Source organism: Homo sapiens, chromosome 11 (assembly GCF_000001405.40).
Source record: "Homo sapiens chromosome 11, GRCh38.p14 Primary Assembly".
Taxonomy (NCBI): Eukaryota; Metazoa; Chordata; class Mammalia; order Primates; family Hominidae; genus Homo; species Homo sapiens.
Window position 1 is genome coordinate 1089192 of NC_000011.10, and position 26130 is coordinate 1115321.

At 61.3% G+C, this 26130-nt stretch overlaps 1 protein-coding gene across 1 annotated transcript in view, besides 2 other annotated features; it reads left to right on the forward strand.

Moving 5' to 3' along the window:
- MUC2 (mucin 2, oligomeric mucus/gel-forming) overlaps positions 1-21317 on the forward strand; it is a 35635-nt gene extending 14318 nt beyond the window's left edge. The window contains 35 exon segments of the mRNA NM_002457.5: positions 318-474; positions 751-882; positions 1573-1720; positions 3208-3251; positions 3653-3856; positions 4343-4360; positions 4951-9021; positions 9023-9030; positions 9032-9057; positions 9059-9079; positions 9081-9091; positions 9093-9104; positions 9106-9145; positions 9147-9161; positions 9164-9182; positions 9184-10834; positions 11566-11763; positions 12032-12255; positions 12565-12739; positions 13226-13473; positions 14083-14266; positions 14590-14818; positions 15542-15720; positions 16112-16181; positions 16320-16420; positions 16665-16696; positions 17895-18072; positions 18459-18563; positions 18813-18853; positions 18982-19104; positions 19357-19455; positions 20090-20218; positions 20456-20495; positions 20710-20836; positions 20945-21317. Coding sequence (NP_002448.5) covers positions 318-474; positions 751-882; positions 1573-1720; positions 3208-3251; positions 3653-3856; positions 4343-4360; positions 4951-9021; positions 9023-9030; positions 9032-9057; positions 9059-9079; positions 9081-9091; positions 9093-9104; positions 9106-9145; positions 9147-9161; positions 9164-9182; positions 9184-10834; positions 11566-11763; positions 12032-12255; positions 12565-12739; positions 13226-13473; positions 14083-14266; positions 14590-14818; positions 15542-15720; positions 16112-16181; positions 16320-16420; positions 16665-16696; positions 17895-18072; positions 18459-18563; positions 18813-18853; positions 18982-19104; positions 19357-19455; positions 20090-20218; positions 20456-20495; positions 20710-20836; positions 20945-21164 — 9279 coding nt within the window. The 3' untranslated portion in view covers positions 21165-21317.
- Positions 24255-24785: an enhancer, noted in NCBI's record as "H3K27ac-H3K4me1 hESC enhancer chr11:1107354-1107884 (GRCh37/hg19 assembly coordinates)". NCBI's record gives its function as "activates a minimal SCP1, AML or CMV promoter by ChIP-STARR-seq in naive H9 embryonic stem cells {active_cell/tissue: H9 hESC(naive)}" and the evidence as "EXISTENCE:reporter gene assay evidence [ECO:0000049][PMID:30033119]".
- Positions 24786-25315: an enhancer, noted in NCBI's record as "H3K27ac-H3K4me1 hESC enhancer chr11:1107885-1108414 (GRCh37/hg19 assembly coordinates)". NCBI's record gives its function as "activates a minimal SCP1, AML or CMV promoter by ChIP-STARR-seq in naive H9 embryonic stem cells {active_cell/tissue: H9 hESC(naive)}" and the evidence as "EXISTENCE:reporter gene assay evidence [ECO:0000049][PMID:30033119]".

Sequence of the window (26130 nt, forward strand, 5' to 3'; positions counted from 1 at the left end):
GAGAAAGGACATGTGTCCCCCATGCCCACACATCCCCAGCTACAGGCAGCTGGGGAGGACGGGTTCTAGGATGGCCATGTTACAGCTGAGGATGCAGAGGGGTTGGGTGATGGGTCTGCACAGCCACGGCGGGACAGGTGTCTCTGGACCCTCTCCCCAAGGTTGGCCCTGCCGGGGCCCTGGCTGGCTGGTGCTGGGTAATGTGCCCTGTCCCAGGAGCAGGGCCGGCCTCAGGGTCCTGAGCTCCAGGGCACTGGGGAAGTCCTGGCTCCATGAGGGCAGCACGGGCCCAGGACAGACCAGGGTGTTCTCCCCAGGTGGACCCCAAGCCCTTCTACGAGGCCTGTGTGCACGACTCGTGCTCCTGTGACACGGGTGGGGACTGTGAGTGCTTCTGCTCTGCCGTGGCCTCCTACGCCCAGGAGTGTACCAAAGAGGGGGCCTGCGTGTTCTGGAGGACGCCGGACCTGTGCCGTAAGAGCCTGCCCGAACTGCACTCAGGGCCGGGACGGGGGCTGGGAGGTGCTGTATTGCGGGCCGGGGTGACACTCCTTGTCCATCCAGGTGATGGGTGTGCATCACCCACCCTTTCCCCGACTTCTCCAGTGTCCTTCTTTGGGGCCCTGTGGGACCCGGGTTGGCAGAGCAAGCTTGATGCGTCTGCGTCCCAGCCCCCGACCCCAGATTCGCCCTCACCCCGGCCCAGGCCTGAGCCCTCCTGCGTCTGACCCTGGCCCTGTCTCCCCCAAGCCATATTCTGCGACTACTACAACCCTCCGCATGAGTGTGAGTGGCACTATGAGCCATGTGGGAACCGGAGCTTCGAGACCTGCAGGACCATCAATGGCATCCACTCCAACATCTCCGTGTCCTACCTGGAGGGTGAGCAGGGTGGGGCGGGCTTCAGCGGGGGTGATGGCCGAGGGGCCTGGAGGCTGAGTGGGGCAGCCCTCGGGAGAGGCAACAGTCCACTGGCCTGGAGGGTGAGCCAGGCGGCCCTCGGGGGAGGCTACGGCCGACGGGCCTGGCACTGTGGGGCTGAAGGCTGATGTCTGGAGACCCATGGGGACACCCGGAGGGAGGCCTGACCCTCAGGGTACCCACAGCCCAGGGCAGCCAGGCTCCCCTTGCTGCAGGATCAGGAGGGAAGCAGGCTATCGTGGAAACTGGGAGTGGCAGGGGTGGGAGGTGCTGAGGTTCGTGCAGAGCAGGGCGGGTTGGGGAGCATTTCAGGCACAGGTCAGGGGAGGCCCCTGCCGGGTGCTGGTGTCTGAGCTGAGAACCAGTGACGTGAAGGAGGGACTGGTGGGAAGTTTGGGAGGAGTATCCCGCCATGGGAGAGGAACATGGGTCTTGGGACTCAGGGCTGCTCGGGGGGCCCGATGAGACTGGGCAGGGCTCCTCAGCAGGCAGCGTTCAGGGCTCAGTGGGGTGGGGAGATCCAGGCCCTGCCTTTCCAATCCCCGGCCTTCCCAGAGGGGCATCCTGCAGAGAAGGGCCTGCCAGGGTAGGGACGGTGGGTGGGGTGTGGTGGACTGCGGTGGTCCCAACCCTATGCCCTGTGTCCACCAGGCTGCTACCCCCGGTGCCCCAAGGACAGGCCCATCTATGAGGAGGATCTGAAGAAGTGTGTCACTGCAGACAAGTGTGGCTGCTATGTCGAGGACACCCACTACCCACCTGGAGCATCGGTTCCCACCGAGGAGACCTGCAAGTCCTGGTACCTAAGCCCACGTGGCAGGGGGCCTGGGGGAGCTGCACATATGGGCACATGAGTACACACACACGTGTGAGCACACAGTGTACACAGTACACAGACACACAACCGTTCCACATGGGTGCACATGCACACAAACGCACACAGCATACCACGTGCATACACACGGTCACATGCATGCATGGTGCACACATGCACACATGAATGGATGCCAACATGCAGGCACACACAGTCACACATGCACACAGCGCACACATGGACACATGCCTAGACGCAGATACCCAGGCATACACTCACGGTTACACACTCACGCACATATGCATGGATGCAGACACGCAGGCACACACGGTCATATAGTCATACACCACATGCACACATGCACAGACACCCAGGCACACACAGTTACACAGTCACACATGCACACATGCATGGACGCAGACACGCAGGTGCACACACACATGCACAGTGCACACATGTACACATGCCTAGACACAGATACCCAGGCACACACAGTCACACATGCATGGACACAGAGTCACATGTGTACACATACACACGTGTGGACAGACATAGGCACAGTCACGTGCACACATGCACTCACACTCAGTCACACATGAACATGTGCTCACATGCATGGACACTGACACGCAAGGACACACAGTCACACATGCACACATGCATAGACACAGACACCCAGGCACACACAGTTACACAGTCACACATGCATGGATGCAGACACGCAGTCACACAGTCACACATGCACACACTGCACACATGTACACATGCCTAGACACAGATATGCAGGCACACACACATAGTCAAACATGCACACATGCATGGACACAAAGTCACACGTGCACACATGCACACATGCATGGACAGACACAGGCACACACAGTCACGTGCACAGATGCACTCACAGTCACACATGAACACATGCTCACATGCACAGACACTGACACGCAGGCACACACAGTCACACATGTACACGTGCCTAGACACAGATACCCAGACACACACAATTACACAGTCGCACAGTCACACATGCATGGATGCAGACACACAGGTACACAAGGTCACACAGTCATATAATGCACACATGCACACATGCATAGATACAGACACCCAGGTACACACTCACGGTGACACAGTCACACATGCACACATGCATGGAGGCAGACACACAAGCACACACAGTCACACAGTCACACATGCACACAGGAGCCAGGCTACAGAGGTACCAGTCCCTCACTGCGGCGGGGGGTCTTCTGTTCTCATCCCATCCTCTGGGTCTGGCTTTTTCCTTCCTCTCCTCGCCCCTGCTCTGTTCCCACAGTTACAACCCAGTGGGGGGCTCTTCCGGAGCTGGCTTTGGGGCAGTGCCTGGGGGCTTTGGGCTCGGTACTAGCCACATGGGGAAGCTGGGGGTCTGAGCAGCGTGGGCGCGTTGTCAGTGGAGTGGGACTTGTAGCCATGTGCTTGCTTTGCAGCGTGTGTACCAACTCCTCCCAAGTCGTCTGCAGGCCGGAGGAAGGTAAGCTGCCCTCTGCTGCCAGCCCTGCGGTGGCCGGGCCCATCCTGGGGAAGCCTGTGGGGCCTTGGATCGGTGGGGGGTGCTGGTCTCCTCCTGGGCTCTGCCCCTTTGGTCCCCCCCCAGCTCAGACCCACCTCCGATGTGTATCAGCCCTGGGGGGCTGCTGTGACCCATTTTGTTTCTTCTGGGGTGTCGGTGTCCTGTGGGGAATTTCCGTCACCCTCTCCCGTGATCCAGCTTCTGCGTTCTGATGAGATTCCCTTTATTCAAAGAGAGGGGCTCTGGGACGGGTGCAGTCTCACTGGAGCATTTCTTAGCTGCTTGTGGGGGCTCGGGCACACCTGGCCTTCTTCCTATCTTGCTCCTGATGAGGTGATTCTTGGCCTCACCCTCACCCCCAGGAAAGATTCTTAACCAGACCCAGGATGGCGCCTTCTGCTACTGGGAGATCTGTGGCCCCAACGGGACGGTGGAGAAGCACTTCAACATCTGTTCCATTACGACACGCCCGTCCACCCTGACCACCTTCACCACCATCACCCTCCCCACCACCCCCACCACCTTCACCACTACCACCACCACCACCACCCCGACCTCCAGCACAGGTAAGGCCCCCTGGTTCCCTCCATGCTTCCTCGGGCTCTCACCTTCCCCTGCATCCAGCATCCAGCACAGAGGGCTCTTTCGGGGGCAGGCCCCGGCCTGGTGCAGCCAGGCTGTGACCCCTGCACACCAGCTGCAGAGTGAGGTGACAGTGGCATTCCTCTGCACTGAGGTGTGAGGGGGCCTGCCCTGGCTCCCCTGGCCTGGTGCATTGAGATAGTAGCATCCTGACCACATCCCCAAGCCCAGACCACAGTGGAGGATCACCTGGGGAGATTTCTGAAAACCAGCAGGAAACTATCCCTAAGGGTTAGAGAAATTTTCTTATGTTCCCCTGCGTTTGTTCTGGTTGAAATCCTAGCTACCACTGAACAAGCCACCAGGGGTATGATAGCCACAGAAAAAAGAAACTTTTTTTAAAAAAGGCAAGATTTTAAAAGATCTTGAACTATATAATGATATCCTCTTTTCTTCCTGCTTTATTGCAGTTTTATCAACAACTCCGAGTAAGTGACGGTGATGATATTCATGATGACAAGCAGGGTGGGAGGAGCGAAGTCTTATAAAATCACCTGCAGGATGCTTCCTTCAGGGCCCAGATGTGAGGCTGGCGGGGCTGGACTCCTCTGCTTATGGACCAAAGATGGATGTATTTTGGCCACTTCATTCATGGTTTGCTGAGGCCAGGGGCTAAAGTGAGACCTGATTGGCTGTCGGTGACAATATTGCTGGTTAAGAGTGGAGACAAAGCCCCTTCCGTCACACTTCCTTACTGGAATGGGAAGCTCTCTTGTTATTGATTCTTTGAAAAAAAAGTATTGAAAATAGCTGAGGAAAGGGTCCATCACACCCAGGTGTGGCCCTGGGTGGCCCCGTCTCTTTGGGCTCAGGTTTTCAGTTGCAAAATGAGGATGGAAGTGGTGTCCAGCCCTGAGCTCTCTGGCCCTGCACTCTGGTTTTTTGGCAATGACAGGGAAAAGAGAGATTGCAGCTGGGGGATGGTCATGGAGGTCCCTGGGTCCTCTGAATCCTGGTGGCTTCCTGGAGGTGCCTCTCCCCAGGTGTGAGAGACAAGAACTTGGTTTTGCTTCCCTAGAGCTGTGCTGCCTCTGGTCTGACTGGATCAATGAGGACCACCCCAGCAGTGGCAGCGACGACGGTGACCGAGAAACATTTGATGGGGTCTGCGGGGCCCCTGAGGACATCGAGTGCAGGTCGGTCAAGGATCCCCACCTCAGCTTGGAGCAGCTAGGCCAGAAGGTGCAGTGTGATGTCTCTGTTGGGTTCATTTGCAAGAATGAAGACCAGTTTGGAAATGGACCATTTGGACTGTGTTACGACTACAAGATACGTGTCAATTGTTGCTGGCCCATGGATAAGTGTATCACCACTCCCAGCCCTCCAACTACCACTCCCAGCCCTCCACCAACCAGCACGACCACCCTTCCACCAACCACCACCCCCAGCCCTCCAACCACCACCACAACCACCCCTCCACCAACCACCACCCCCAGCCCTCCAATAACCACCACGACCACCCCTCCACCAACCACCACTCCCAGCCCTCCAATAAGCACCACAACCACCCCTCCACCAACCACCACTCCCAGCCCTCCAACCACCACTCCCAGCCCTCCAACCACCACTCCCAGCCCTCCAACAACCACCACAACCACCCCTCCACCAACCACCACTCCCAGCCCTCCAACGACTACGCCCATCACTCCACCAGCCAGCACTACCACCCTTCCACCAACCACCACTCCCAGCCCTCCAACAACCACCACAACCACCCCTCCACCAACCACCACTCCCAGTCCTCCAACGACTACGCCCATCACTCCACCAACCAGCACTACTACCCTTCCACCAACCACCACTCCCAGCCCTCCACCAACCACCACAACCACCCCTCCACCAACCACCACTCCCAGCCCTCCAACAACCACCACTCCCAGTCCTCCAACAATCACCACAACCACCCCTCCACCAACCACCACTCCCAGCCCTCCAACAACCACCACGACCACCCTTCCACCAACCACCACTTCCAGCCCTCTAACAACTACTCCTCTACCTCCATCAATAACTCCTCCTACATTTTCACCATTCTCAACGACAACCCCTACTACCCCATGCGTGCCTCTCTGCAATTGGACTGGCTGGCTGGATTCTGGAAAACCCAACTTTCACAAACCAGGTGGAGACACAGAATTGATTGGAGACGTCTGTGGACCAGGCTGGGCAGCTAACATCTCTTGCAGAGCCACCATGTATCCTGATGTTCCCATTGGACAGCTTGGACAAACAGTGGTGTGTGATGTCTCTGTGGGGCTGATATGCAAAAATGAAGACCAAAAGCCAGGTGGGGTCATCCCTATGGCCTTCTGCCTCAACTACGAGATCAACGTTCAGTGCTGTGAGTGTGTCACCCAACCCACCACCATGACAACCACCACCACAGAGAACCCAACTCCGACACCAATCACCACCACCACTACGGTGACCCCAACCCCAACACCCACCAGCACACAGAGTACAACACCAACACCCATCACCACCACCAATACGGTAACCCCAACCCCAACCCCCACTGGCACACAGACCCCAACCCCGACACCCATCACCACCACCACCACTATGGTGACCCCAACACCAACAATCACCAGCACACAGACCCCAACCCCGACACCCATCACCACCACTACGGTGACCCCAACCCCAACACCCACCAGCACACAGAGAACAACACCGACATCCATCACCACCACCACCACGGTGACCCCAACCCCAACACCCACCGGCACACAGACCCCAACCACGACACCCATCACCACCACCACCACGGTGACCCCAACCCCAACACCCACCGGCACACAGACCCCAACAACGACACCCATCACCACCACCACCATGGTGACCCCAACCCCAACACCCACTGGAACACAGACCCAAACCCCAACACCCATCACCACCACCACTACGGTGACCCCAACCCCTACACCCACCGGCACACAGACCCCAACATCGACACCCATCAGCACCACCACTACGGTGACCCCAACACCAACACCCACCGGCACACAGACCCCAACCCTGACACCCATCACCACCACCACTACGGTGACCCCAACCCCAACACCCACCGGCACACAGACCCCAACCACGACACCCATCACCACCACCACTACGGTGACCCCAACCCCAACACCCACCGGCACAAAGAGTACAACCCCGACATCCATCACCACCACCACTATGGTGACCCCAACCCCACCACCCACTGGCACACAGACCCCAACCACGACACCCATCACCACCACCACTACGGTGACCCCAACCCCAACACCCACCGGCACACAGACCCCAACCCCGACACCCATCACCACCACCACCACGGTGACCCCAACCCCAACACCCACCGGCACACAGACCCCAACATCGACACCCATCACCACCAACACTACGGTGACCCCAACCCCAACACCAACCGGCACACCGAGTACAACCCTGACACCCATCACCACCACCACTATGGTGACCCCAACCCCAACACCCACCGGCACACAGACCCCAACATCGACACCCATCAGCACCACCACTACGGTGACCCCAACCTCAACACCCACCGGCACACAGACCCCAACCCCGACACCCATCTCCACCACCACTACGGTGACCCCAACCCCGACACCCATCTCCACCACCACTACAGTGACCCCAACCCCAACACCCACCGGCACACAGACCCCAACCATGACACCCATCACCACCACCACCACGGTGACCCCAACCCCAACACCCACCGGCACACAGACCCCAACAACGACACCCATCAGCACCACCACCACAGTGACCCCAACCCCAACACCCACCGGCACACAGACCCCAACATCGACACCCATCACCACCACCACTACGGTGACCCCAACCCCAACACCCACCGGCACACAGACCCCAACCACGACACCCATCACCACCACCACCACGGTGACCCCAACCCCAACACCCACCGGCACACAGAGTACAACCCTGACACCCATCACCACCACCACCACGGTGACACCAACCCCAACACCCACCGGCACACAGACCCCAACCCCGACACCCATCTCCACCACCACTACGGTGACCCCAACCCCAACACCCACCGGCACACAGACCCCAACCACGACACCCATCACCACCACCACCACGGTGACCCCAACCCCAACACCCACCGGCACACAGACCCCAACAACGACACCCATCAGCACCACCACCACGGTGACCCCAACCCCAACACCCACCGGCACACAGACCCCAACATCGACACCCATCACCACCACCACTACGGTGACCCCAACCCCAACACCCACCGGCACACAGACCCCAACCACGACACCCATCACCACCACCACCACGGTGACCCCAACCCCAACACCCACTGGCACACAGGCCCCAACCCCAACAGCCATCACCACCACCACTACGGTGACCCCAACCCCAACACCCACCGGCACACAGACCCCAACAACGACACCCATCACCACCACCACCATGGTGACCCCAACCCCAACACCCACCGGCACACAGACCCCAACATCGACACCCATCACCACCACCACTACGGTGACCCCAACCCCAACACCCACCGGCACACAGACCCCAACCCCGACACCCATCTCCACCACCACTACGGTGACCCCAACCCCAACACCCACCGGCACACAGACCCCAACCATGACACCCATCACCACCACCACCACGGTGACCCCAACCCCAACACCCACCGGCACACAGACCCCAACAACGACACCCATCAGCACCACCACCACGGTGACCCCAACCCCAACACCCACCGGCACACAGACCCCAACATCGACACCCATCACCACCACCACTACGGTGACCCCAACCCCAACACCCACCGGCACACAGACCCCAACCCCGACACCCATCACCACCACCACCACGGTGACCCCAACCCCAACACCCACCGGCACACAGACCCCAACATCGACACCCATCACCACCACCACTACGGTGACCCCAACCCCAACACCCACCGGCACACAGACCCCAACCACGACACCCATCACCACCACCACCACGGTGACCCCAACCCCAACACCCACCGGCACACAGAGTACAACCCTGACACCCATCACCACCACCACCACGGTGAACACCAACCCCCAACACCCACCGGCACACAAAACCCCAACATCAACACCCATCACCACCCACCACTACGGTTGACCCCAACCCCCAAAACCCACCGGCACACAGACCCCAACCCCAACACCCATTCTCCACCACCAATAACGGGTGACCCCAACCCCAACAACCCACCGGCACACAGACCCCAACCATGACACCCATCACCACCACCACCACGGTGACCCCAACCCCAACACCCACCGGCACACAGACCCCAACATCGACACCCATCACCACCACCACTACGGTGACCCCAACCCCAACACCCACCGGCACACAGACCCCAACCATGACACCCATCACCACCACCACCACGGTGACCCCAACCCCAACACCCACTGGCACACAGGCCCCAACCCCAACAGCCATCACCACCACCACTACGGTGACCCCAACCCCAACACCCACCGGCACACAGACCCCAACCACGACACCCATCACCACCACCACCACGGTGACCCCAACCCCAACACCCACCGGCACACAGAGTACAACCCTGACACCCATCACCACCACCACCACGGTGACACCAACCCCAACACCCACCGGCACACAGACCCCAACCCCGACACCCATCTCCACCACCACTACGGTGACCCCAACCCCAACACCCACCGGCACACAGACCCCAACCATGACACCCATCACCACCACCACCACGGTGACCCCAACCCCAACACCCACCGGCACACAGACCCCAACAACGACACCCATCAGCACCACCACCACGGTGACCCCAACCCCAACACCCACCGGCACACAGACCCCAACATCGACACCCATCACCACCACCACTACGGTGACCCCAACCCCAACACCCACCGGCACACAGACCCCAACCACGACACCCATCACCACCACCACCACGGTGACCCCAACCCCAACACCCACTGGCACACAGGCCCCAACCCCAACAGCCATCACCACCACCAGTACGGTGACCCCAACCCCAACACCCACCGGCACACAGACCCCAACCACGACACCCATCACCACCACCACTACGGTGACACCAACCCCAACACCCACCGGCACACAGTCCCCAACCCCAACAGCCATCACCACCACCACTACGGTGACCCCAACCCCAACACCCACCGGCACACAGACCCCAACATTGACGCCCATCACCACCACCACTACGGTGACCCCAACCCCAACACCCACCGGCACACAGACCCCAACCCCGACACCCATCTCCACCACCACTACGGTGACCCCAACCCCAACACCCACCGGCACACAGACCCCAACCACGACACCCATCACCACCACCACCACGGTGACCCCAACCCCGACACCCACCGGCACACAGACCCCAACCACGGTACTCATCACCACCACCACTACGATGACCCCAACCCCAACACCCACCAGCACAAAGAGTACAACCGTGACACCCATCACCACCACAACTACGGTGACCGCAACCCCAACACCCACCGGCACACAGACCCCAACCATGATACCCATCAGCACCACCACTACGGTGACCCCAACCCCAACACCCACCACTGGAAGCACGGGGCCCCCCACCCACACAAGCACAGCACCGATTGCTGAGTTGACCACATCCAATCCTCCGCCTGAGTCCTCAACCCCTCAGACCTCTCGGTCCACCTCTTCCCCTCTCACGGAGTCAACCACCCTTCTGAGTACCCTACCACCTGCCATTGAGATGACCAGCACGGCCCCACCCTCCACACCCACGGCACCCACGACCACGAGCGGAGGCCACACACTGTCTCCACCGCCCAGCACCACCACGTCCCCTCCAGGTAAGCAGAGCCGCTTGGTTCCTCTGGCCTGGGATGCTTCTTCCTCCCCTTGTGCCGGGCAGGACTGTCCCAGGAAGGCTCAAGGCACGTTCTGGGCGCCTCTCTGCCCACGAAGCTTGGTCACTGTGTGGGCAGAAGCCACTGACACTGGCCAGTGCTGGGCAGTGAAGCCAAAGGCCATTCCGCTTGCCCATAGGACAGCCTTCTGAGGAGCTGCTGACACCGGCCAGTGCTGGGCAGTGGAGCCCTTGGCTATCCTGCTCGCCCATAAGACGGCCTTCTTCAGGGGCCCACTGCTATGTGATGCGGTGCTGTGGGAGCCCATCAAGGCTGGGGGGCAGAGAGAGGCTGCCAGTGAGGTGCCTGCGGGTCCACCTGCTTCTGGCTGCAGCCCCTCCTTGGGGCCTTTTCCTGGTGGACGGCATGCCACAGCCAGTGCCTTCTGGACGCCTCTTGCTGGCCATCGGCTTGGCCAGCAAGCTGTGTTGCTGCCAGAGCACCAGGTCACCTGCAGGCTCTCGTGACACTCGGCTGTGGTGATACTGGCCTTGCCGCTCCACCCTGCCTGGTGACTCTGAGAGCCTGGGAGGTGGGCACGAGGCCCTGGTCCTCCAGTTCTGCCACCCGGTCGGCTGTCTGGCTCCCTTGCAGCTGGGGAGTGGCAGTTGGGACCCTGTGGCATCTGAGATGTGCAACGTCTCAGCCCTCACTGGTGTCTCCTGCTCTCACAGGCACCCCCACTCGCGGTACCACGACTGGGTCATCTTCAGCCCCCACCCCCAGCACTGTGCAGACGACCACCACCAGTGCCTGGACCCCCACGCCGACCCCACTCTCCACACCCAGCATCATCAGGACCACAGGCCTGAGGCCCTACCCTTCCTCTGTGCTTATCTGCTGTGTCCTGAACGACACCTACTACGCACCAGGTACTCAGGCTGTTCACATCCTGTGCTTGGGTGGCCGAGGCTGGCCCCGGCATGTACCAATGGGTCAGGTGCCAGGGCTGAGATCGCAGTAGAAGCGTCTCAGGAGGCAGCAGCCGTCGAGGGTGGCTGTGTCCAGGGCACGGCTTCCCTTGGGTGGCCTCTGTGGGGACCTCCGCTGTGGGGACCTCCACGGGGTCCAGCGGCTAGCCCTGCCTCCGGCTAGCCCTGCCTCTGGACGGTGTGATCGTGGGTCTGTCTCCCTTCGCAGGTGAGGAGGTGTACAACGGCACATACGGAGACACCTGTTATTTCGTCAACTGCTCACTGAGCTGTACGTTGGAGTTCTATAACTGGTCCTGCCCATCCACGCCCTCCCCAACACCCACGCCCTCCAAGTCGACGCCCACGCCTTCCAAGCCATCGTCCACGCCCTCCAAGCCGACGCCCGGCACCAAGCCCCCCGAGTGCCCAGACTTTGATCCTCCCAGACAGGTCAGTGGGCTGCAGGCGGCTTTGTCCCCATGGCACTCTGCGCAGCATGTCCGGGCAGCTGAGGCCCCAGGCACCACTTCCTGCTGGTCGTCTGAGGGCCGAGGCCTCCAGCAACCCTTGGGTGCAGGGTCTGCCGAGCCCTCCACATTTTCACCGTGCCCCGCTGTGCCTGGCGAGGTGGCTGGCTGCAGTGAGGTCCGTGGAAGCCACTTCGGCCTCCAGCCTCCCGGCTCAGCACCCGCCCCTCCTGAGCGCAGACCACCCCATCCTGTGCCGGTCCCCCTGACGTCCCTTGCCTCCCGTCCCCAGGAGAACGAGACTTGGTGGCTGTGCGACTGCTTCATGGCCACGTGCAAGTACAACAACACGGTGGAGATCGTGAAGGTGGAGTGTGAGCCGCCGCCCATGCCCACCTGCTCCAACGGCCTCCAACCCGTGCGCGTCGAGGACCCCGACGGCTGCTGCTGGCACTGGGAGTGCGACTGTGAGTCCGGGGCCCCCAGGCCCTCCCCGCATCTCCTGCCCTCTCCGTGGGTGGGGGCTGCAGGGCCCGTCTCCCGGGGGCGGAAGGGCTGAGGCTCCTTGGGCACAGATCCCACTGAGGTGTTCGCTGAGGCTGGGTGACTTCTGAGGGTCTTCTCACAGCCCTGCTTTTGCCTCATTGGGTGGGGAGGGCCTGGGCAGGTGGAGGGCTTGCCTGGTGGAGTTAGGGCTCCTCCCTGGAACAAGGGTGCTTCTGAGGCAAGAGGGGGCTGAGTTGAAGTTTGAACCCTGGTCCGTCCTGCAGAATGGGCCACTGTGGGTGCGCCAGGGCAAGTGCAGCTCAGACATCCCCGTGCCCACGCACAGGAGTGGGGTTTTCAGGCCCCAGCTTCCTGCTGGCTCTTCCTGACTATGCCCCAGCCCAGCCCTTGCACCCGACCCCGGCCGAGGGGCACAGGTGGCACGGCTCACTCCGGCTCCCTTGCAGGCTACTGCACGGGCTGGGGCGACCCGCACTATGTCACCTTCGACGGACTCTACTACAGCTACCAGGGCAACTGCACCTACGTGCTGGTGGAGGAGATCAGCCCCTCCGTGGACAACTTCGGAGTTTACATCGACAACTACCACTGCGATCCCAACGACAAGGTGTCCTGCCCCCGCACCCTCATCGTGCGCCACGAGACCCAGGAGGTGCTGATCAAGACCGTGCATATGATGCCCATGCAGGTGCAGGTAGGCACAGCGTGGCCACAGGAGGCTGGCATGGAGGCGGGTGCTGACATGGGCCCCAATGCACCCTGGTTCCCCAGGGGCCAGAGGACTGGGCTGTGGGGGTGCCAAGGCATAGCCTCTCCTAGAGTTGGGCTAGAAGGTAGGATGGGGTGGGCGACTGGCTCCGGGACATATCAGCTCTTCCTGCAGGCCCTCCAGGTGTGTCCTGGGCCCCTCGAGCCCTGGCACCATGCCACGCTGGGCACAGTCTCTGCAGCAGAAGCTGCCTCCTGAGGACAGAGTCAGGGACAGGGCTCTGCACACCCTTGGCTGAGATGCCCCTACTTGCAGGGGAATCATTGGTTCTGAGGCTCAGGAGGCCCCGGGAGCCTGCGCCGGGCTCCACAGTCCCCAGGTGCTCCCAGGAGAGCTCCTTCACTGGCTCACCCATGGGACCAGGGTCTGGTTGGGAGCAGTGGAGTGGAAGCAAGAAAGGGGGCAGGAAAGCGGGGTAGGCAGGGCCCTCTCCCTACATGTGTAGGTCAGAGAGCAGGCGGGGTGGGGCAGCCCTGGAGCTCTCACAAGGAGAGGACCGAGGCAGCTGCAGCTCCCATGGTGTGTCGGCCACAGGTGCAGGTGAACAGGCAGGCGGTGGCACTGCCCTACAAGAAGTACGGGCTGGAGGTGTACCAGTCTGGCATCAACTACGTGGTGGACATCCCCGAGCTGGGTGTCCTCGTCTCCTACAATGGCCTGTCCTTCTCCGTCAGGCTGCCCTACCACCGGTTTGGCAACAACACCAAGGGCCAGTGTGGTGAGTTCCGTGACCCCCATGGCCCCCGAGGCCCCCACGGCTCCCACCGTCCCCTGTGCCCCCATGTCCTGCCCCAGGGCGGGTGGCCAGGCCAGGCTGAGGCTGAGGCTGCGTGTAAACACCCATGGGCCTGGCTGTGGGCCTCTTGCCCCGCTGCTCGGGGCTGCTGTGGCCATCACCCGGGTTCAGTCTCTGTGAGGAGCCAACAGGAGGGGGCCTGGCCTGGTCTCTGCCCTCGGCCCTGGCTGGCCGGTCCTGGGCATCTGGGCTGGAGAAGGGCAGGGCTTACCCTGTCTGCAACGTGGCCTCTCTCACTGATACAGGCACCTGCACCAACACCACCTCCGACGACTGCATTCTGCCCAGCGGGGAGATCGTCTCCAACTGTGAGGCTGCGGCTGACCAGTGGCTGGTGAACGACCCCTCCAAGCCACACTGCCCCCACAGCAGCTCCACGACCAAGCGCCCGGCCGTCACTGTGCCCGGGGGCGGTAAAACGACCCCACACAAGGACTGCACCCCATCTCCCCTCTGCCAGCTCATCAAGGACAGGTGACCCCGCCCAGGCCTGCCTGTGGCCACGACACCAATAAGCTGAGGGCCTCTGTGCCCCAGCCCCCAGCTCTTGCAAAGAGGAAGGAGGCAGCGCGTGGGGCCTGGCGCTGGGGCTGGGAAGGCACGGAGCCGCGGAACCAGGATCAGGCGCTAGGTCGCCGTGGGGTCCAGGACCCAGGCCCTTGGGTTCCACGGGGCTGAGCTGCTACGTGCGGCCTGTGCCTTTGCTGAACTCCAGTCTCTCCTGGCTCCCGGGAAGGTGCAGGGCTGGCCGAGTGTGAGGCCCGGAGTAAACCAGTCAACCCAGGACAGAGCTCAGGGCTGATATTGGGAGGGCAGATTTGGGCTTTGACAGAGAGGGGGTGCTCCTAACGCTGGCAGTCATGGGGGGTCAGCATCCTGTCCCTGGAAGTATAGGGGCCAGGTATAGGCTGGGTGTCCATCTGCCAGGGTTGCTGGAGGGGGTCCTGAAGCTGATGACCACATAGACGTGGTTTCTATCTCTGGGAGCCGGGCTGCAGAGCCACCTTGCTCGGCCATCCCTTGGTCTGTCCCTGAGCTGTCCCCCTGGCTGGCCTGTCCCTTGACCCTCCATCAGCCACAGGCGCCTCTCTGGCGGGTGCCGGACTCCAGGAGGACAGTCCGGGCAGAGACGCTGGGGTAGAGAGCAGGGGAGAGGCAGGTGCCACCTGAGTGTGACCTGTGCCTCTCCCTGCGCAGCCTGTTTGCCCAGTGCCACGCACTGGTGCCCCCGCAGCACTACTACGATGCCTGCGTGTTCGACAGCTGCTTCATGCCGGGCTCGAGCCTGGAGTGCGCCAGTCTGCAGGCCTACGCAGCCCTCTGTGCCCAGCAGAACATCTGCCTCGACTGGCGGAACCACACGCATGGGGCCTGCTGTAAGTGCCCATCTGCCCCTGCCCTGGAGCTGGGGGCCTGCAGGCCAGACGTGGTCTCTAGGCTCTGCCAGGTGCTGTGCCCAGCCTGAAGCTAGACCTAGATGGGCTGCGGCCAGGGACGCAGAGATGGCGGGTGTGAGACCAGGGCTGGGGCCATGGGGTGGGGAAGGCCAGGCTGGAGGGGCTGAGGTGCTGGGGCTTCTGCCAGCATCGCTAAATGCAACTGGGTGCCCACCACCCAGCTCGGGACAACCTCGAGGGTGGAGGTTGATGCCCAGGCAGCTGGTCACCCTCCTCCGTGTGTGGGGCACTGGGCAGCTGTCACTCAAGGGGGTCCAGGCTCCTCCGCCTGACATGAGGCAGCCCTCTGACCTCTGCCCATGTCCCTCAGTGGTGGAGTGCCCATCTCACAGGGAGTACCAGGCCTGTGGCCCTGCAGAAGAGCCCACGTGCAAATCCAGGTATGTTGTTTGAGGGTCCACCAGGACCGTGGGCTCGCCTTCTGCAGTGCGGAGGGTGGCATCATCTGGGCATAGCAGTCCCACCTGCCAGCTCCCCAGCCCCACCCCACCTGTCTGACAATGCCCTCCCGCCCCCAGCTCCTCCCAGCAGAACAACACAGTCCTGGTGGAAGGCTGCTTCTGTCCTGAGGGCACCATGAACTACGCTCCTGGCTTTGATGTCTGCGTGAAGACCTGCGGTACGCCACCCACTCACACTGTCCCCTCCTGCCTCCCTCCTGCCTCCTCCTGGGTGTCCACGGAGGCTGGGACCAGGACGCTGACCACCCCCCACCTCTGATCCCTGTTGCACAAGGACTCTGCTAACACAACTTGTCTCCTGGGTGTCCATGGAGGCTGGGACCAGGAGGCTGACCACCCCCACCCCTGCTCCCTGCTGCACAAGGACTCTGCTAACACAACTTGTTTCTTCCCTCTTCCTAGGCTGTGTGGGACCTGACAATGTGCCCAGAGAGGTAGGCCCCACCGTGTTGCTGGGGGATCCTTCCACAAATTCTGAATTCTGGGGAGTGAGGGATGGACATGAAAACCTGGAGCCTCAAAGATTGAGGAATGAGGTCATCTAAGTCCTGGATGGCTGAGTTGGCATGGACACCACCCACTCACCCACCCATCCTTCCACCCACCCACTCATCCACCTGTGCACCCATCTACCCACTCACCTACCCCTCCATCCTTCCACCTACCTAGTCATCACCCACTCATCTATGCACCCCCCCACCCACCCACTCATCCATCCATCCATCCACCATCCACCTACCCAACCATCCACCCATCCATCCACCATCCATCTACCATCCACCATCCACCCAACCATCCACCATCCATCCATCCACCCATCATCCATCTACCATCCACCCACCCACCTATCCATCCATCCATCCACCATCTGTCTACCATCCACCCACCCACTCATCCATCCATCCATCCACCATCTGTCTACCATCCACCCACCCACCTATCCATCCACCCATCCATCCATCCATCCATCCATCCATCCATCCATCCATCCACCCACCATCTGTCTACCATCCACCCACCCACCTATCCACCCATCCACCCACCCATCCATCCACCCAACCATCCACCATCCATCCATCCATCCATCCATCCACCATCCATCTACCATCCACCCTCCCATCCATCCACGCATCCACCCAACCATCCATCCATCCATCCACCATCCACCCACCATCCACCCATTTATCCATCCATTCTCCCTCCCTCCATTCACCACCCATTGGTCATATGATACTCTGTCTAGAAGCTCTGACATGACATCTTGGCCACCTCTGTGCTGCCCATGCCTCCTACCTGTGGTAGCAGCCATGTGGATGATTCCTTAGCTAAATTCTGTACAAACCTGAGAGGCCTGAGTGGAGAATTTGCCACGTGCCAAGCCCCTGCTTGTCGATGCTGGTGAGCAGGTAATGGCTTTGTGATATCAGTGAATGAGCAGCTACTGTCCTATCCCAGAACCTGCCTGGTGTGCTCAGAAGTGAGGAGGGACATGGTTTTCCCCCAGGATCCCTCAGCACTCTGCTCAGGGTGGCTGTTTCTCCCCGCTGACCACAGCTGCAGCTCCGGGGCTGTGGTGAGGTGGGGCCTGCCTGGTGCCACCTGTCCTCTCTACTCACCCTTCTTTCCCTGCAGTTTGGGGAGCACTTCGAGTTCGACTGCAAGAACTGTGTCTGCCTGGAGGGTGGAAGTGGCATCATCTGCCAACCCAAGAGGTGCAGCCAGAAGCCCGTTACCCACTGCGTGGAAGACGGCACCTACCTCGCCACGGAGGTCAACCCTGCCGACACCTGCTGCAACATTACCGTCTGCAGTAAGGCCATCCCCTGGGGCCCATGCCACCTCTCAGGGGTGCACACATCCCTGTAGGCTGGGCTGCCTGCTGTCCCCTCCTTGGCAAGTGAGGAAACAGCTGGCTTGGGGGCCTCTGCTGTGCCCCTTGAGAGGGCTTGGGAGGGGGCCGCTGGGCCCAGTCCAGGCATCCCTGCTGCAGGGCCTGACCTGGGTGGGGAGGGGACCCTTGGAGGTGCTGGAGGCCCGACCCTGTGCAGTGGCCCCGGGGGCTTTGCCTGGGAGGAGCCACCCTCACGGCCGCGTGCGCACCCTGTCTTCAGAGTGCAACACCAGCCTGTGCAGTGGCCCCGGGGGCTTGGCCTGGGAGGAGCCACCCTCACGGCCGCGTGCACACCCTGTCTTCAGAGTGCAACACCAGCCTGTGCAAAGAGAAGCCCTCCGTGTGCCCGCTGGGATTCGAAGTGAAGAGCAAGATGGTGCCTGGAAGGTGCTGTCCTTTCTACTGGTGTGGTAAGCAGGGCTGGTGGGCAGGGCAGGGAGGAGGCTGCCGCCCGGGGTGGGGTGGCTGTAAGGGGGTTGGCTCCCTCCTGGGGGTCTCAGATTCTGGGGACACAGATGGCTGTACGCTTGGCTGATGCACCCACCCCAGCCCTGAGCGCTCGCTCCATCCACTGGGTGTGCACCGGGAGTGGGGGTCTGGCCAGGTGGCCGCCCCGGGGCAGTCTCCAACGAACGGCCTTCTCCGTTCTTTCTCCCAAGAGTCCAAGGGGGTGTGTGTTCACGGGAATGCTGAGTACCAGGTGAGCCCTGGGCTGGGTGAGAGGGAGGAGGGGAGGAGGTCGGCTGCAGCGTGGGGGTCCTGGCAGGCTGTTGGGCTGGCTGGGATGCTGGAGAGGCCCCTGCCTCATGTCTCTCCCTGTGCCCGAAGCCCGGTTCTCCAGTTTATTCCTCCAAGTGCCAGGACTGCGTGTGCACGGACAAGGTGGACAACAACACCCTGCTCAACGTCATCGCCTGCACCCACGTGCCCTGCAACACCTCCTGCAGCCCTGTAAGCGGCCACCCTCCTCCTTCAGCCTGCCCTTTTCCCTCCTCCCAGACAAGCACCCGGGCCCATGTCTGCATCGTGACCCTTTCTTTCCTCCTTTCAACGCCAACCTGTCCCTGTCCCCACCTCTCCATCCTGACACCTGCCCAGCCTGGGGCCTCCTCCAGGTGGGGGGGTCTCGGCAGCCCTGCAGGCTTTGTGTGGTGTGGGGTACAGCCTGGGAGTTCAGTTGCAGTGGCGTGTCTATGTGCGCAGGGCTTCGAACTCATGGAGGCCCCCGGGGAGTGCTGTAAGAAGTGTGAACAGACGCACTGTATCATCAAACGGCCCGACAACCAGCACGTCATCCTGAAGGTAGGTGTGCACTGCCGGCCCCGACGCGGCCGGGTTGCTTGAGCCCAGGGCAAGGCGCGGGCCACCCAGGATCCCCCAGCTGAGTCCTCCCAGTCCTGGGCGCAGCTGTGATGGGCGCCCTGGGGCTGCCATGACAAATGAGCAGGCGTCTTCAGGGCAGAAAGGGATTCTCCTGGTTCTGCGGCCCAGAAATCCATAGAGCAAAGGGCCTCAGGGCTGTGCTCCCTCGGAGGCGCTAGGCAAGGACCTTTCCCAGCCTCTGGTCACTCTAGGTGCCCCTTGGCTGTGACCACGAGGTTTCCTTCCCTGTGTCTGCCTCTCCTCTCCCTTTTAAGGATTTAGGCACCCCAAGCAGGATGATCTCATCTTAGGATCCTTCACTTAATGACACCTTCAAAGACCCCCTTTCCAAGGCAGGTCACATTCATAGATTCAGAGTTAGAACACAGACAGACCTTTGAGGGTTGTGTGGGCTCCAGGCTGGTGCCTGATGTGGGGCCCCGCCCATGTCACTTGTCCTGTGGCCCTGGGCCTCACCAGGAAGCCTCCCCGGCCAGGTGTCTCCAGGGTGTCTTCCTGGCCGGGCTGGGGCTGGGCCTGCTGCCCTCCCTCACCAGAGCTCCCTGCCCCACAGCCCGGGGACTTCAAGAGCGACCCGAAGAACAACTGCACATTCTTCAGCTGCGTGAAGATCCACAACCAGCTCATCTCGTCCGTCTCCAACATCACCTGCCCCAACTTTGATGCCAGCATTTGCATCCCGGTGAGTTGGCCACCTGGGGCCTGGCTGTGTGTACTCTGCCGGGAGTGGGGGTGCCTGGTGTTCTGGGGGGCTGGGGCCCCAGTGCTGCGACAGTGACCTCGGGCCTGGTCTGAGCTGCCGCAGGAGGCTTTGCCTGGGGCTTTCTGCAGCAGCTACCCCCGCCCACGGCATCGTGGGAAGGTGCTCTCATCCCCAGGAATGTCCGGGGGTCCCGGGCTCATTCTCCTTTCCCTCTAGGGCTCCATCACATTCATGCCCAATGGATGCTGCAAGACCTGTGAGTACAGGGCACAGCCTGGGGGGTAGGCAGGGTGGGGGCACAAGGGCTGGTGCCCTCAGCCCCGCCTGGGGTGGCTGGAGGCTGGACAACGGCCTCTGGGTGGGCAGTGAGGGCTGGGGGCTGAGGCCGAGCCTGGGGAGGGGACGCAGCGAGGGAGAGCCTCCTCGAAGATGTGGAGGCCCTGCCCTAAGCCGCTGCCCGCTCTCCCCAGGCACCCCTCGCAATGAGACCAGGGTGCCCTGCTCCACCGTCCCCGTCACCACGGAGGTTTCGTACGCCGGCTGCACCAAGACCGTCCTCATGAATCATTGCTCCGGGTCCTGCGGGACATTTGTCATGTGAGTCCCAGGCTGGGAGTGTGCCTGGAGGGGGTGGTGGAGACCCCAGGGAGGCGAGAGGCCAGCGCTGGCCCCGGAAGGTCACCCCTCACTCCGCCCTCCCCCCAGGTACTCGGCCAAGGCCCAGGCCCTGGACCACAGCTGCTCCTGCTGCAAAGAGGAGAAAACCAGCCAGCGTGAGGTGGTCCTGAGCTGCCCCAATGGCGGCTCGCTGACACACACCTACACCCACATCGAGAGCTGCCAGTGCCAGGACACCGTCTGCGGGCTCCCCACCGGCACCTCCCGCCGGGCCCGGCGCTCCCCTAGGCATCTGGGGAGCGGGTGAGCGGGGTGGGCACAGCCCCCTTCACTGCCCTCGACAGCTTTACCTCCCCCGGACCCTCTGAGCCTCCTAAGCTCGGCTTCCTCTCTTCAGATATTTATTGTCTGAGTCTTTGTTCAGTCCTTGCTTTCCAATAATAAACTCAGGGGGACATGCTGTACTGTGTGGTTTAGGTTGGTGCTGCAGGGGTGCGGCTTGGCCACTGTGCATGGCGGAGGCCACCAGGCTCTGCGTGCAGGACACGGGGGCACCACACACACGCCACGCGGTTGGCAAATCCCTTGTACCAAATGCAGAGGGGACGTGGGGGCTGCCTGCCCTCCGCTCCCCATTCTCACCCTGGGCAAAACCCCCACGGGGCTGTCGAAATGTGGTCAGATTCCCTTGTAGGAATCCCCCGGCCCTGAATCTGTGAAAAGAGCCCTGGGTTCCTTCACAGCCATCTCACAGGCTTTCCACGGTTGGTGGGGCCTTTGTGTAGCCCCGAGGGTCAGGTGGCCCTGGGGAGGGTGTGTGTGTGTGTGTGTGTGTGTGTGTGTGTGTGTGTGTAGCCCCGAGGGTCAGGTGGTACTGGGGAGAGTGTGTGCGTGTGTGTGTGTGTGTAGCCCCGAGGGTCAGGTGACCCTGGGGAGGTGATGTGTGTGTGTGTGTGTGTGTGTAGCCCCAAGGGTCAGGTGGCCCTGGGGAGGGTGTCTGTGTGTGTGTGTAGCCCCGAGGGTCAGGTGGCCCTGGGCAGAGGGTGTGTGTGTGTGTGTGTGTGAGTGCATAGCCCCGGGGGTCGGGTGGCCCTGGGGAGGTGGTGTGTGTGTGTGTGCGTGTGTGCGTGCATGCACGTGTGAGAATTTGCTTTGCACACGTGTCTGCATGTGCCATGTGTATGTGATGTGTGTGCACGTGTGTGCATGCATGTGCGTGTGAGCATTTGCTTGTGTGCACACGTGTCTGCATGTGCCATGTATGTGATGTGTGTGTGCACGTGTGTGTGTGCATGAGCGTGTGAGCATTTGCTTGTGTGCACACGTGTCTGCATGTGCCGTGTGTATGTGATGTGTGTGCACGTGTGTGTGTGCATGAGCGTGCTAGCATTTGCTTGTGTGCACATGTGTCTGCATGTGCCATGTGTATGTGAGATGCGCCTTGTCCTGGGTCTCTACACTGGGAAAATGGAGAAGGTCTTAGTCCTCAGGTCACTGTCAGCTCCTGCTGCCTAGTGACAAAAGGTGGCCAGGACCTGGTGGCCCCGTCAGGGCTTTGGGGAGCTGCCAGTCAGAGCCGCCAATACCTTCAAACCTGCAGAAGTTCTGGTTGGCTCTGCGGACCCAGCTGGACAAGGGGCACTGGCTGTGGACCCTGGGCACAGTGCCCACTCATGTTGGAGAGCTGAGCCCCTGACTTCTGGGTGGAGCCCATGGAGGCTGCTTGGCCCAGAGCAGGTGCCTGGTGTCTCCTGTCAAAGGCAGCAGGTGTGTGTGGGGAGGCCGAGGCCTCTAAGCACAGTGATCCAACCTCGAGCATCCTCTGAGGTCAAAGGGGAGGACATTTGTCTCCAGACTACAAGGCTGTGCCACACCCCTTACATGTGACGAAACCCTCAGGAGGGCAGACACCTGGGCTGGGCTCCACACTTCCAAAGCCAGGGCACAACGGGTCCTCAGGGTGTGACAGGTCCTCAGGGCATGACGGATCCTCAGGTGTGATGGGTCCCCTGGGCGTGACGGGTCCTCAGGGTGCAACAGGTCCCACCTCCTGCTGTCCTGCCTCCCAAATAGTTGTACAGGCATGTGGCACCATGATTGGCTAATTTTTAAGAGCTTTTTGCTTTTTGTTCTTATCTTTCAAAACAATCCTTTGTTTTACTAAAGTAACAGGCACGTGATTTTTGCATAGTTTTGTTTGTTTTGCAGAGACAGGGTCTCACTATGTTGCCCAGGCTGGTCTCAAACTCCTTCCTGGGTTCAAGTGATCCTCCCACCTCAGCCACCCAAAGTACCAGGATTACAAGCATGAGCCACTGATCTTGGCTCCTGGCAGGGGGCTGAGGCCACTGCCCTCCCCTAGCTGCCCTCCCCTAGCTGCCCTCTCCCCCATCTGACCCCAGGGAGGGCCGCGGTTGAGCAGCAACCCTGGGGTCTGAAGCCAGTTGGGACATCCCAGCTCATCAGCGCCACCCTGGGTCCTGGAACCCGCTCAGGCCTGGGGTCTTTCAACTGCCCCACTTGGCCCAGGACAGCCCCCCAAAGGACCTGCTCATCCCCTCTGGTGGCCCCAGGAGCCCACACTGTCTAGGCCTAGGGACCTCCTGGGCAGTCAGTTGGCCTGGGCCTGCCATGGAGCCCCTGAGGCCACCCTAGAGCCTCTGGCATAGCCACGTGGGGATTCTGGGTGCTTCAGAACTGGCCCTTCCATGAAGCTGTCAGCATGGACCCCAGAGCCATCCTTGGGTCATTTCGAGGGTGGCCTGTTTCTGGCCCACCCCCAAAACCTATCACATCTCTGCCTGGCTGTGACCCTTGGGCCCAGCAGTCCCTGCACAGGCCAGGAAATGGGCAGGGCGGGGTGGGGGCACTGCGGCCAGAGACCTGGTAAGGAAGAGGTGGTCAGGCTCCCTCCAGTTTCCTCATCTGTCTCCCAGCTTGCAGCTGCGAAGAGGGGCTTCCCCTGGTGATGCAGCGTGGACACGGGTACGGCTAGGCCCCTGCCTGCTCTTCCCTGCTGTGCCCTTTAAAGCAGAGGCTACCCGGGAAGCTCCAGGAGAGCATGAGCCCTGACCCCAGTCCTTCCCCAGACAGCCCTGCCCCTTCCCAGAGCAGGCCCCACCCCTTCCCTAGAGGAGGCCCCGCCCCTTCCCCAGAGCAGGCCCCACCCCTTCCCTAGAGGAGGCCCCGCCCCTTCCCCAGAGCAGGCCCCACCCCTTCCCTAGAGGAGGCCCCGCCCCTTCCCCAGAGCAGGCCCCACCCCTTCCCTAGAGGAGGCCCCACCCCTTCCCCAGAGCAGGCCCCACCCCTTCCCTAGAGGAGGCCCCGCCCCTTCCCCAGAGCAGGCCCCACCCCTTCCCTAGAGGAGGCCCCGCCCCTTCCCCAGAGCAGGCCCCACCCCTTTCCTAGGACAGGCCCCGCCCCTTCTGCCCACTCAGGATCTTCCTTTTGGGTTCTCTGTGTCCAGAACTCCAGTGCAGGTGTTGAGGGTGGGGAGGGAGCTGCCCCTTCAGGTGGAGGCAGGGTTGGTGCCAACGGAGGGGCAGGGAGACGCAGGGGCTCCCCCCAACCCCGTCCAGTCACGGTGCAGCCCCCGACTTTATCCCCAGCGCCCTCCTCTTCCTCGCATAACTCATGCCCCCAGCTGGGTCCTCCTGGGTCTCCCTAGGGGTGACTCGGGCCAGGGGCTACCTGTTTCCCCGGGCTCACCACAGTGGGCTAAGCCTACAGCAGAGGAGATAGGGAGCCCGCCAGCCAGGTGGGCAGCCGGCCACCCCCTCGGAGTAGCTGCACGGGTTGGGGTCAAGTTCTCGCATTCTCTGGAAGAAGCTGGCTGTTCTGTTCCCACGGCGGCCTCCCTGTTTCTGGGAGCAGACGGAAGGCCCCAGCGCGCACTCCTCCCTTCCGCCCAGGTGAGACTTGCTGTTGTTCCGTGGGCTGAAACAGGCCATGCGCCTGGCTGTCGGGTGCTCCGGGCGGCACCAGCAAATGACCACAAACCGGGGGCCGAAAGCCACAGGAAAGCTGTCTCCCACAGTCCCGGAGGCCGGAGTCTGAGGTGCAGGCGTGGCGGTGCCACAAGGCCGCTCAGGCTCCGGGGAAGATGCTTTTGGCCCTTCCAGCTGCAGGTGGCTCTGGGCGTTCCTTGGCTTGCGGCTGCATCGCCCATGCCCTGCCTCCGTCTCCACGGGGCTTCTCCTGGGCGTTTCTCCCTTTGCGTCTCTTCTAAGGACATTGGTCTTTGGATTTAGGGCCCACCTGATAATCCAGGCTGATCTCGTGAGGTCCTCAATCTAATCACATCTGCAAAGACCCTTTTTCTTTTTCTGTTTTTGGAGACAGATTCTCGCTCTGTCACCCAGGCTAGAGTGCAGTGGTGTGATATCGGCTCACTGCAACCTCCGCCTCCCGGGTTCAAGCGGTTCTCCTGTCTCAGCCTCCTGAGTAGCTGGGATTACAGGCGCCCACCACCACACCCAGCTGATTTTGTATTTTTAGTAGAGATGAGATTTCACCATGTTGGCCAGGCTGGTCTCGAACTCCTGACCCCAGGTGATCTGCCCGCCTCGGCCTCCCAAAATGCTGGGATTATAGGGGTGAGCCACTGCACCTGGCCCCGAGTCTTGGTGGTTCACGGCAGCAGGGTTCTGTCTGGTTCATGCTCCGTTTGTGGCTGCGTGGCTGGTGCCCTCCACTACATCCGCTCACTCCAGGGCCTAGGCTGTGGGAGCAGCTATTGCCTCCGTGGTCACGGTGTGGGGACGGGAGACCGAGGGTCTTGTCCATGTCCCAGTCCCCTGAGAGGTTCTGGCTCTGCTCAGACACCGAGTCCCTGGGGCTGCTGTACCACCACCAGGCAGGAGAGGGTGCCAGAGACGTGTGGAGGATTTAAAAACGGAAGGATCTTAGGTGCAGACAGGTGTCTGATGGGAGTCAACAGCGTGTCTCAACTCGCTATTATAAAAAGAGCAAGCCCAGACTAGAAGGAAGCCGTCTTAACCTGTTTAGGAACATCTGCCCAGAAACTACAGCACACATCGAACCCCTCCGCTTGCTGGGACTTGAGAATCACTCCCACAGAAGCCAGCGGACATGGGAGATGTTGGCGATGGCTGTGCCTTCCCTCTATGGGGGTGCTGGAGGCTTCACCAAGTCCGTGAGACAAGAGCAAGAAGAAATGAAGACCAGCATTGGGAAACAAAACTGTCCTGATTTGTTTCATTTTAATTTATTTTTTGTAGAGACAGGGTTTTGCTATGTTGCCCAGACTGGCC